This window comes from Homo sapiens, chromosome 3 (genome assembly GCF_000001405.40).
Source record: "Homo sapiens chromosome 3, GRCh38.p14 Primary Assembly".
Taxonomy (NCBI): domain Eukaryota; kingdom Metazoa; phylum Chordata; class Mammalia; order Primates; family Hominidae; genus Homo; species Homo sapiens.
The window spans coordinates 164864053-164877568 of NC_000003.12; the positions used below are offsets into that span (position 1 = coordinate 164864053).

At 35.9% G+C, this 13516-nt stretch overlaps 1 annotated feature.

The window, feature by feature from the left end:
- Nucleotides 372-1022: an enhancer, noted in NCBI's record as "OCT4-NANOG hESC enhancer chr3:164582212-164582862 (GRCh37/hg19 assembly coordinates)". NCBI's record gives its function as "activates a minimal SCP1, AML or CMV promoter by ChIP-STARR-seq in naive H9 embryonic stem cells {active_cell/tissue: H9 hESC(naive)}" and the evidence as "EXISTENCE:reporter gene assay evidence [ECO:0000049][PMID:30033119]".

The window sequence follows — 13516 nt, forward strand, 5'->3', positions numbered from 1 at the left end:
GGATCAGGTTTGCATAGCTTCTGGATAACTGAACATGTGGAGGTTTTTTGACAGTGGTGCACCTGTGGCATGGAAGCTATTCACCCCTTCCCACGTATCTCACCCTATGCATCTTTTAACCTGTATCCTTTGTAATATTATTTATAATACACTGATAAATGAAAATCAAGTGTTTTCCTGAGTTATATAAGCTCCTCTAGCAAATTATTTGAACCTGAGGAGGCAGCTGTGGGAGCCCCAGCTTATAATCAGTTGGTAGGAAATACAGGTAAAGTAAAACAACCTGGGTTTTTTTATTGGCATCAGAAGTGGGAAGAAGCCTTGTGGAAATGAGTCCTCAATGTCTAGTATCTGATGCTATCTTCAGGTAGAGAGTGTCAGAATTGAATTGAATTAGAGTATGCACATTTATTTGACGTGTATACAAGGGAGTCTTCAAAATGAAGACCCAACCTCCCAGTGAGGTACAGAAATGATATACCATCTTTTAAGAATGCTGGCTCAGAGCACAGCCCAAAAGATACTATGTTGGTAAATCAAGTTTCAGCAGAGAGACAGGTATAGGAGGAAGAAAGGAAGGGGCCTGGCTAGCAAAGGTAGCCTTGTTATGTAGATAAAGCCTCATAGGTGTTAGTCCTCAGAGAGAATAGACAGTAAATGTTTCTTTTCAGATCTTTAAAGGTGTCAGAGTCCCAGTTAAAGTCTCCTAGATCTGAGAAAGGCCTAGAAAAAGAAGGCTTGGCTGATTTAATGTAGATTCTCTACAGAGGCAAATTTTCCCCACCTCATTCAGCTGGCCCTGTGATAGCTATTTCAAAATATGTCAAAGAAATATATTTTGGGGTAAAATATTTTTATTTCCTTTAGTGATAGCACTGATTATGCAGTGGGAAAATATTTTATGTTTAAAAACACTGATGAAGAATATGACAAAAGAATGATGCATGAGCATCAGCAGGTAGTCCAATTCACAGCTCAACAGGTACCTTTTGATTGACTATAAGATGCCAGAGGCTGGGTGTGGTGGCTCACGCCTGTAATCCCAGCTCTTTGGGAGGCCAAGGTGGGTGGATCGCGAGGTCAGGAGATCGAGACCATCCTGGCTAACACGGTGAAACCCCGTCTCTACTAAAAAGTACAAAAAAATTAGCCGGGCGTGGTGGCGGGCTCCTGTATTCCCAGCTACTCCAGGAGGCTGAGGCAGAAGAATGGCCTGAACCCGGGAGGCAGAGCTTGCAGTGAGCCAAGACTGCACCACTGCACTCCAGCTTGGAGGACAGCTCAAGATTCCGTCTCAAAAAACAAACAAAAACAAACAAACAAACAAAAAGATGCCAGATACTGAATTATTTTATCATTGGTGGTAACCAAAGCAGAAGCAGAAATATAATAAGAGATAGGTAAGGTCCTGTCTAGTACTTTGTTTCTGTGCATTTTAATAAAATAAAATATATTTATATACTTATACATGTGCTAATAGTGACCAAAAACCCATACTTTTAATTCTATCCAGTGGTTCTCATCCTTGCGGAATATTAGAATTTCCTAGGGAGCTTTTAAAAACTGCCATTCCAGGGATGCCATCCAGGCTGATTCAATCAGAATCTCTGGGACTGAGTCCTCAGCAATGATACCTGTCAAGTCTCCCCGGGGAGTGATAACGGGCAGTCAGGTTTGAGAAACTCTGCTTTAAACTCTTGACAGAGACTGCTAAAGGGAGTCTTACTTTATACATTTCGTAGTATAGATTTTGGTAATACATACTAAATGTTTACTAATTTTCCTAAATATGTATACTTCCTAATGAAAACTCAATGCTATGAATTTTAAGATTTCAAGGACTTTCGGCCGGATGCAGTGGCTCTCTGTAATCCCCCAGCACTTTGGCAGGCCGAGGCAGGCGGATCACGAGGTCAGGAAATCGAGACCATCCTGGCTAACATGGAGAAACCCCGTCTCTACTAACAATACAAAAACAATAAAAACAAAATTAGCCGGGCATGGCGGCGGGGGACTGTGGTCCCAGCTACTCCAGAGGCTGAGGCGGGAGAATGGCGTGAACCTGGGAGGCGGAGCTTGCAGTGAGCCCAGATCGCGCCACTGCTCTCCAGCCTGGGAGACAGAGCCAGACTCCGTCTCAAAAAAAAAAAAAAAAAAAAAAAAAAAAAAAAAAAAAAAAAAAAGATTTCAAGGATTTTCGTTTGAAACTAATAATATATCCTGACATCTGGGCCATCAGATTTTTTTTTTCTTTGGCAATTTTAGCTTTGCTTTTCTTTTCAAATAGACTTTATCTGCTATTTTAGATTGATTTTTTCTTGTCTATAAGGCAATGATGCATCAACAAATAAAATTATTATAATTAAATAAAAGCAGTTAATGTGCATTAGGTCCTAGGATCTTTTCTGAACTGTCATTCCTCCGCACCACTAAATGCATAAAATTAAACATATTGAATAAAATAATCCTTCCACCTGCTAAAATTTATTAGAACTACTATATATTTTATGAAATACGTTTTGCATATAAACATTTTATTTACTTTTATCATTATGAAATAAATACTGTACATAAAATTCGGTATAAAGAATTCTACTGTATCTTTAACCAAGTAATAGAAAATGTCTGAGGAACCCAGTATGTGCATAATTCAAGTGGAAATAAAAGAAACAAAGCAATTGTGAGCTGACAGGACAAGTGTGGATTAAGCATCGGTTCTTTTTTTTTTTTTTTTGAGACGGAGTCTGTCTCTGTCATCCAGGCTGGAGTGCAGTGGCGCGATCCGGGTTCACTGCAACCTCCGCCTCCCGGGTTCACGCCATTCTCCTGCCTCTGCCTCCCGAGTAGCTGGATCTACAGGCGCCCGCCACCATGCCCGGCTAATTTTTTGTATTTTTAGTAGAGACGGGATTTCACCATGTTAGCCAGGATTGTCTTGATCTCCTGACCTTGTGATCTGCCCGCCTCTGCCTCCCAAAGTTGGGATTACAGGGGTGAGCCCCCGCACCTGGCCCAAGCATCAGTTCTTTTAAAAAGAACTAACTTGAAGGTAAGTCTTGACTCAAGCTTTAGAGGAACTAAGGTGACTTTGGTGGGCAGTGGAAAGAATCACAAAGAGAAATTAATTCAATAAAAGTGTACTGATTTTTAATGCTTTTGCTTAATATTTCACTTTAAAAAAAAAAAAGCCTTTACACTGTTCATAGAAAGCCAGCATGTATTTTTAGCTCTAAGTTTGTCATATTTCCTTTTCTCCGTTAATGTGGAGAAGAAAAAAGTGTGGTTACCTATGGTAGGAAATTTATAGAAAATAGTTTTGTTTCTCTTGCAGACTATATGATCTTTAAATGAAGTAGGGTTTGCTGACTCCGATTATGCCCCATTGTTCTAATACATCAGGCAGATACTTTGCAGGAGACAGTGTCCTTCTTCATGGCCATGCCAGTCCCACTTAATAGGTTCAAATCAGAAAGGATAAAGTTCAGGAATAAGACACAGTGCTTCAAGTCAATTCCATTTGACAAATATTTATTGAGAACTTAATTTGTATAAAGTATAATAATGAATGAAACTTTAATATAGAAATGAATATTGAAGTAGATATAAAGCTTGAGAGAGTGAGACTAGTTAAGAAGGAGAACATTATTGAAGATAGAAAGTGTGTACACATTAAGTGTAGGGTAAAAGAAGATAAAGTATCACAAATATGGAGCAAAACTGATCAAGGATTAAGAATGCCACAATAACCTCAAGCTAGCAAGCAGCCCCACAGTTGAATGCAATAGAGAGTCTAGCTGAAATAAATCCTAAGCATGTGGTTTGTAATTGATAACCTTTTTTGTGGAATATTTTCATGAGGGTTGTTGACAGAGCCCACAGCAGGTAATGGAGTGAGATGCAAAAGAGCATAGGGAACATGGATACCTTATGTATTCAAAGACTTAGACCTAGAAAGACACGAAATAGGAGAGCACAGTCAAGGAATGAATTTGTTAGGTTCTTAGAGGCCATGTAAAGGAGTAACTAGAGGGAAAATTACTAAAAAGATGCAAAGGGAATAGGGAAATCCTGAGGATATTGAGCCGGAATGAGACCAGTTGTTAAAGTGAGTGTTTCTCTGAAACTAGAGAGTATAAAATACTTGAAGATATGGAAACATTTGAAATGAAAAGGACAAATGTGAAAGAATTCTCAATGGTCAGTTCCAATTATTTTATCAACGTAGAAAACCAATGTGACAGGATTGAAAGTGAGGGCTTCATTTGTCCTTTTACTAAACAAATTCTTAACAGTTTATATATATTAGGCACACTGCTGATCATTGAGGATTTGTTGAAAAATAAATGAAACATGCATGATTTCTTCTCCAGTAAAGGAACCAAATTAAAAGATGAGAAAATAGATAAATAATACATCTAAAAACAGATAATAAACTTTGAAATATACTCAGTGGGCTGAAAACAGAAAGGCTGTTGGAATAAGGGTTTAGGCTTTAGAATGGTGACAGCGAATTCCTCTTTGAGCAGTTGAATTTAAAATGAGACTTGAAGGATTAGATGAAACCAGTAAAGTAAAAAATGGAAGGAAAGTCATTCCCAGTGAGGACTGCACAGATCAATAAAGGCTTGCCAGTAGAAAAGGGCACAGCATGTTGAAAGAACTGAAATAATTTCAGTAAGACCGGAAATAAGTGAGCATGTGAGACTAGGACATGAGCCTGAAGAAGCAAGCAGGGGTCAGATCATGCAGAATCTTGTACAACTAGTCATAGAATTTGAATGTTGCTCTAAAGACAAGAACAAGTCTGTCATATTCTAAGCAAGGCCCAAATATGATCTCTTATATTCTAAGACTATAACTTGGGATATTGTATACAGAATAGCTATCAAAAGGGATAAGAGGGCCGGGCGCGGTGGCTCACGCCTGTAATCCCAGCACTTTGGGAGGCCGAGGCGGGCGGATCACGAGGTCAGGAGATCGAGACCATCCCGGCTAAAACGGTGAAACCCCGTCTCTACTAAAAATACAAAAAATTAGCCGGGCGTAGTGGTGGGCGCCTGTAGTCCCAGCTACTTGGGAGGCTGAGGCAGGGGAATGGCGTGAACCCGGGAGGCGGAGCTTGCAGTGAGCCGAGATCCCGCCACTGCACTCCAGCCTGGGAGACAGAGCGAGACTCCGTCTCAAAAAAAAAAAAAAAAAAAAAAAAAAAAAAAAAAAGGGATAAGAGGAACTGGAATGAAAAAGCTAAGAAACAATAAGGGTTTCAGGAGTAGGGTGTTGGCAGTAGATATGAAAAATTAATAGGCAAATTTGAGATACATTTTGGACCAAATGATGGTCCTTAGGAAGATGACTGATGTAGGGCTGAGGGTAAAGAAGGCATCAGTAACAACTCCTAGATTTGGGGCATAATTACCTGGGTAATTGTGTCATTTAAAGACAGTTAAGATTGTGGATTAGGGGATGCATTTGCTAGGGATAGAGGTTTTTAAGGTGAAATCATGATAACAAAAGAAAAGTTTTGAAATGGAGTAGAATGGGAAAAAATAATGAAACCAAGAATGTAAACAATGATGCCAGGTGCGGTGGCTCATGCCTGTAATCCCAGCACTTTGGGAGGCCAAGGCAGGCGGATCATAAGGTCAGGAGTTCGAGACCAGCCTGGCCAGCATGGCGAAACCACATCTCTACTAAAAATACAAAAAATTAGCCAGGTGTGTTGGTGCACGCCTGTAGTCCCAGCTACTCAGGAGGCTGAAGCAGAAGAATTGCTTGAACCTGGGAGGCGGAGGTTGCAGTGAGCCGAGTTTGTGCCACTGTAGTCCAGCCTGGGTGACAGAGTGAGACTCCATCTCAAAAAGAAAAAAAAAAAAAGAATGTAAACAATGTTTGAGTAGAAGAAAAGAAAAAATTTAGTCATGGAGGCCCAGCTAGCACATTGATGCGACTTTTCTAACAGTGCACATTGGTTGACAAGGAAGAACTAAGACAAAAGGCTCGGAATCACCTGGTTGAGGAGGAGCAAAAGTACAGAATCCAGAAGACAGCTACACTGGGTTGGAGAATTCATTTTACACTGGAGCACAAACTAAGGCCGGGGGAATGAGGAGATGAGAGAGATGAATAGGTGAGAGAAAATTGTTTCAAAGAGGACAATTTCAGAATTTCCTTTTAGGAGGTAGAACAATTATAATATGACAAAGTTCAAATCTGGATGTGATTTTCAGCTGCTAAAAAATAAGACAAGGTGAAAGCTTGTGGTTTTCAGAAAGCCAGGAGACCAGGAGTTTGAGAAAAACAAGTTTGTTCACATATCCTTTCTAAGCAAACATAAATTGTGAGATATTAAGAAACATTTTGTTTGGCCGGGCACGGTGGCTCGCGCCTGTACTCCCAGTACTTTGGGGGGCCGAGGCGGGCGGATCATGAGGTCAGGAGTTCAAGACCAGCCTGGCCAACATAGTAAAACACTGTCTCTACTAAAACTATAAAAATTAGCTGGGCATGGTGGCGCATTCCTGAAATCCCAGCTACTCAGGAGGCTGAGCCGGGAGAATTGCTTAGAATTGCTTGAACCAGAACCCGGGAGGCAGAGGTTGCAGTGAACCGAGATTGCACCATTACACTTGAGCCTGGGCTGCAGAGCAAGATTTTGTCTCAAAAAAAAAAAAAAAAAAGGTTACAATTAAAAAAGAGAAAACAGGTCATAAATTACTATCAAGTACATAGTCTACCTCATGAGACTGATGACCATATAGAAAGCATAATTTCAAGAACACATGGACAGCCCATCTGCTCCCTAAATAATTATCTTCAAGTGGTCAGGTTTTTTACAAACTTACACCATTGAAGTTTCATTAGGTTGACTTTAGAGTCTCCTGTTACTAAAATGCAAAAATTTTCGGTCTTATAATACTTTAATCTATGTCACCTATACTTTAATGTGAGCAGATAACAGATTGTAGAGGGGAAGCCTGTTTTTTTGTAAGGACATGAGTATGAACTACTATATATGACTTTCAAGAAAATGTATCTGCTTTACTGTTTTACAAAATCATCTCTCTCCTTTTCTCCTCATTTTCCCTTTCCTCTTTTTTTTATTCCCACTCCTCCTTACCCTTTGCATTAGTTTCTTATTAGTCGTGTTACTTCCTATTACTATTGTAATAAATTTCTATAAACCCTTCTGAGGGTCAGAAGGCTCATAGGGTTAACATCAAGGTGATGGCAGAATTGCGTTTCTTCTAAAACCTCTACAGAGAATCCATTTACCTGTTTTTTGAACTTTTAAAGGCCACCTGTATTCCTCGGATTATAGTCCCTTTCCCTATCTTCAAATACAGCGGCATAGCACCTTCAAATCTCTTGACCTCTGCTTCTATGGTTGCATCTTGTTTGTCCTCGCCTCCCTTTTTCTCTTGTAAAGACTTTTACACACAGATAATACAAGCTAATCTTCCTGTCTCAAAATCCTGAATTTGATCACATCTGCAAAGTCACTTTTGTCATGTAAGGTAACATATTCACAAGCTCAGTATACTAGGATGTAGACATCTCTGGGGAGGGAGTGATTATTATTCTGCCTATCACACCATCTCACCACATGACCAAAATTATGAAAGTGACACCATTCCGAAGGTACAGAGGCACCTCCAAAGCACACGTGTTGGCAAAATGTCTATCATTACTTACTAATTGTCAAATACTTATTATCTGGAATTATTCTAGAATAAGACTGTAGATTCTGCTATAACAACAACAATAATAATTAACATTTATTGAATAATTGTCATGTACAGTTATTAGGCTCAATCCTTTTCCAAATATAATTAATTGTTAGAAAAAGAAATGCTCATATTTCTATATGTGTATATCATTTATCTTTGTAATCATTATTTGTGTATTCCATCTCTCTCTGTCATTTATCTGTTAATTTGTCTATTTTCATTCTGTCTTTATCTATTATAAAAATAATTACCACCTAAAAGTAATTTGGGGTCAGCATATACTACATTGTATTCCATTTGTATCAATAATAGACAATATATTTTGCTACTTAGGGAAGATAACTTTGGGATCATTTGGTTCAATCACTTCACTTGGTAGGCTTGCATAGCAGGACTGAAAATAAAGAAATAATTTGCTAACAGTTATATAGCTACTTACTCGTTGTTTCCTAAAGCCATTTTAAGTAATTTTGGGGTCAGGGTAGAAATAGTTCAGAAAAATTATATTTTAAAAAGGCATTAAGTTATAATTAATAATTTAATAGTTAAATCTTCCAGAAAAATGGAATACAGGAATTACAAGCATTAGAATTGTTCTTTTTAAAAAAATTTTCAGAAATGAATGACTTTGGCATAAGCTAGGGGTTTATATATTATAATAAATAGTAGAAAACAAGTTATATATTATGGATTTAACTATATACTAAATGAACAGAGGCTAAATTCAACTGAAACAATTGTCTTTTATTAGGCCAAAGATTACTTATATTTATCCCTTATGAAAGAATATAATTCAGCATCTAATGGACCTAGGTGAAAATTTTGTCTCTGTTCTTTGTCACTACATGTGGTAGGGCTAGTTACCAGTAACTTTTCTCAGTTTTAGTTTTCCTGTCAATAATGTGAATATAATAATGCTTTTCTTTTCTTTTTTTTTTTTTTTTTTGCAATGGAGTCCCACTCTGTAGCCAGGCTAGAGTGCAGTGGTGTGATCTCGGTTCACTGCAACCTCCGCCTCCCGGGTTCAAGCGGTTATCCTCCCTCATCCTCCCGAGTAGCTGGGATTACAGGTATGTGCCACCACACCCAGCTAATTTTTGTATTTTTAGTAGAGATGGGGTTTCACCATGTTGGCCAGGCTGGTCTCCAACTCCTGAGCTCATGATCCACCTGCCTCAGCCTCCCAAAGTGCTGGGATTACAGAAGTAAGCCACCATGCCAGGCCAATAAAGCTTCTTTTAAAAGATTTTTGTACAGAATAAATGAGATAAAGATTGTGGAGTGTCTTATATAAATAAATATTATAGTATGTATTATAATTACAACAACTACTACTACCATAGCTGCTACCATAATAATATAATTTACTAAATAGGTAGCTGAATAGATTGATGACATTAAACAAATCTGCTCTTAGCCTGCATTAAAAAAATATTGATTGAACACAGGTAATGAAGATATTTGAATTCCAGTACAATTCACTTAGATTTTTATACTATAGAATTTTAGTGTCCACATTAGTGTTTTGTTTTGTTTTATAAAATGAATAATTATATGAATTTAATACTTTAGAAAAATATATGTAGTGATACTAAAAATTGAGTATAGATGCAAAGAGACTGATTATGAAACAAATGGCAGAATCCAGGAGTGATTTAATAATTAACTGAGCAGTGGAATACGATACAAAGTTTCCTCAAAAAATTGAAAATAAAACTACTATATGATCCAGTAATTTCACTTCTCAGTACAAGTCCATAGTAAATAAAATCAGTAAATCAAAGAGATGTCTGCACTCCCATGTTCTCTGCCATATCTTGGCTATTATGTCTAAGAGTGAGTATGAGTGGGAGTATATTATTCTGAGTATGACTAATGTTACTCATAATAGCCAAGATATGGAATCAATATAAATGTTCATCAATGGATCAATGAATAAAGAAAATGTGGCATATTACACAATGGAATAATATTTAGCATTAGAAAAGAGTATCCTGGATATTAAAAAAATATTCCTCTCAATTAAATGTAATTATATAACCTTTGACCAACATCTCTTTATCCTCCCAACCCACTAGCCATCAAAGCCTCTGGTAACCACCATTCTACTCTCTACTTCTATAAGATACACTTTTTTTAGATTCCACATGTGAGTGAGGTCATGCAGTATTTGTCTTTCTGTGCCTGTTGGTCAAAGGATATAACTACAGTTAGGGAGGAAAAACATATTTTAAATGTCCAGAATAGACAAATATATGAGACAGAAAGTAGATAAGTGATTGCTTGGGGCCATGCAGTAAGGAAGAGAAGATAGGGGAGAGGAATGAGGAACCACTACTAGTGGTTATGAAGTTTCTTTTATGGGTGATGAAAATGTTTTAAAATGGACTGGGGTGATGGTTGAACAACTGCTGTGAACTTACAAAAAACCACGGGATTATACATTTTAAATGGATAGATTGCATAAAATGTAAATTATATCTCAATAAAGCTGCTCAGTCTTTTAAGACAAATATTCTGTTATTTGCAACAACATAGATAAACATGGATGACATTATGCTTAGTGAAGTAAAGTGGGCACAAATAGACAAAGATTGTGTGATTTCAGTTATATATGAATCTAAAAATAAAAATAAAATCAAACTCAAAGAAACAGAGTAGAAATGTGGTGAACAGGGGCTGGGGCGAGAAAAAGAATAGGGAGATGGTTTAAAGGCACAAAGTTCCAATTAGACAGGAAGAATAAGTTCTGGAGATCTGTTATACAGCATGGTGATTATAATTGATAACAATGTATAGTATACTTAAAAGTTTCTAAGATGATAGATTTATTTCATTAAAGATAAAAGGATAGCTAGCCACTACTCATTAGTCTGAAAAAAAATACATTGAGACAATTTACATGTATGTCTAAAATTAAGATTTATAATTTATTTCATTAATTATTCATTATAGGTTTTTTCTTTTTTATTATTTAATAATCTTTGCCTTTCATAGCTGAATTTACCAAGTACTCATCTTTTTCTTAATATTAAGCTAAAAATGCACATTAACTTAAAGGGATAAATAAAGTTCTGATCACAAAATGATAATTATGTTAGATGATTAATATGTTTATTAGCTATATTTAGTCATTTCACAATGTGTGTACACATATCTCTCTCAAAATATCACATTTTATACCATTAATATGCACAATTCATCTTTCATCAATTAAAAAACCTTAATATAACAAACTTAACAGAAGGTTGATTGAAAGAAAGGGTAACCATGGCAACTGAAGTGAATATAAATAAGTAGAAAATTGAATATAAATAAGTAGTTGAATTAGAATTATTAAAAAAGTAGTTAACACACTCTTTATGTGTTAATTTTAGCAATAAATCAAGAAAACTAGAACTATATTTCATATGTAAAATATTTAATTAAATTTTACTCATCTTATTCACCATATAAAAATTAAAAGAAGGAGCAGGTGTGCTTTATTGATTGTTCTCTTTCACTGTAATTGATGTAAAGTTTTCCAAGAACCTTAATGTCAGAAAAGCTCAAACTTGTTTCTTCAGGACATTATGAACAAATACAAGTCAAAGCTAAGTGATTGTGATTCTGAAAGAAAATGAATGCATTAGTTATTAGAGTATCTATTAAGAACCTAAAATGAAAGTGGCACAAATATCACTGAGGAAGTAATGCTACCACAGTATCAGTGTTATGCTTAAAACATTCCTTCCAGATAGGGTGTAACTCAATATGGTGCGTCCTTTTTTCAACTTCCCATGGGGAGTCATATGGTAAGAAACAATACAACCACCAAAGGTACATTACTCTCTTTGCAAAAATAATAAACTAAACTCTGTTAACATAAGCGTATTTGTTTTATGATGCTAAAAATTTTACATTTCCAGAATGATAAAATTGGTTTATAAAAGCAAAGAGTAATGCAGTTATCACATTTCATGGGAAAAAAGGCACTATAACACAGAAGTCAGTCGTGCTTTCATAGATACTTTAGTCAAGCTATGCCTCTGCTTTTTACCTATACAATTTCCTTGAGAGTTAGCAATCTATACTTATTTTTATTATACTATCTCCTTAAAGATAAAAGGATAACTAATCACTACTCACTAGTTTGAAAAAATATATATTGAGACAATTTACATGTATGTATAAAATTAAGATTTATAATTCATCTCAATAATTCATTATAGGTTTTTTCTTTATTCATTCTTTAATAATCTTTGCCTTTCATAGCTGAATTTACCAAGTACTCATCTTTTTCTTAATATTAAGCTAAAAATATACATTGATTTAAGGGGATAAGTAAAATCTGTTTATGAATGAAATGAAAATTTAAAAGCCAGCTTACTAATTTCAGGGAAAAGCCATCTATATATTAGTTTAAGTGAAATTTGAAACAACTACCATATGTTTAATCACAAGGCATAAACAGCATGAAATGCAAAACTTTTCATTATTCAGGTATACAAGAAACATTTTATTCAGTGAATATTCTTACATTAGAGATTAAAAATTCATAGAGAATGTAGTTACTATTCTCCATACTACCTGAAATTTAAAAAAAGATAAAAAAGAAACACAATTTCAAAGTAGGTCTAGAGAACTTCTAGAAGACAAATCTTAATTGTTATGTATTAAGAAATGTATTAAGAAGGGAGTTAACCAAAATAAGCTAGGGAAAAATTCCTAATTGGATAGGTTTGTCCTGATGGAACCCAGAAAACAATACTCCAAAATGAAGGCCTCAGCAGCAGCCTCAGAAGCAAAAGTTTCTCTCTGACCTTCTCCTGTTCTCCTGTCTCTCAGTCGCATTCTCTCCACAGGCTGGCCATAGAAACTAGAATCCTTCTTCCCCAAGTAAGGGCATACAAACCAGAGTTTCTTTTCCCAAAAGCCAGTCATAAAACCTAAAAATATTATCCTTAAAAACTGGCTATTACAAGATTATCTGAGCTACCATGTTTGACTGTAGGTCATAAGACCCCCATTTCATCAAGGGCCTCACCCCACACCCAGAAGGAAGAAATGCATAATCAGAGAGGTAAGAAGAATCTAGAACAAAAGGCCTTGCTGGATTTCCCTACTCAGTCAATTAGCATTAGATCATGACCTTTTCATCCAATCATATTTCTACACACCTTTCCATATTTTGTTAAATCTAACGATGAAAATAGATAATGCCCTTGTATCTTTGGGTCTTCATCCTGAAGGATCTGTGTATGTACATCAAATCAATTTGTATGCCTTTTATCCAACTAATCAATCTGCCTCATGTCAGTAATTTTTCAGCAAACTCTTAGGTGGCCAAAGGCCTTTGCCCTCATAGTCCAAAACTAAATACACATTCTAATTCTTAATGAAAATAAACTCACTATTCTTGATTTTTTTTTCTTTCCTTCTCAAGACAAAACATGATTGTGATTGAAAAGGAACCTCTCTCTCTCTCTCTCTCTCTCTCTCTCTCTCTCCTCTCTTCACAGCAAAACAGTATTTACATATAGGATACTTTTACTGTTGTTTCAGTCAAATAAAAATAACTTCATATCCATCAATTTAACTATTAGAATAATGAGAATGATGATAATGGCTCTAGGTATAACTTAGAGTATATGTATGAATTTTTTATAGCAACAACAATGAGAGGTTTTTTTAAAATAGCCCTTTGACAGAAGAGAGTCTTATAGAAAGGTTATATAATTTATCCATAGTCATATAACCAGTTTTAATCAAATTACAAATTGAAATTGAACCTGTTTGATTCCACAATG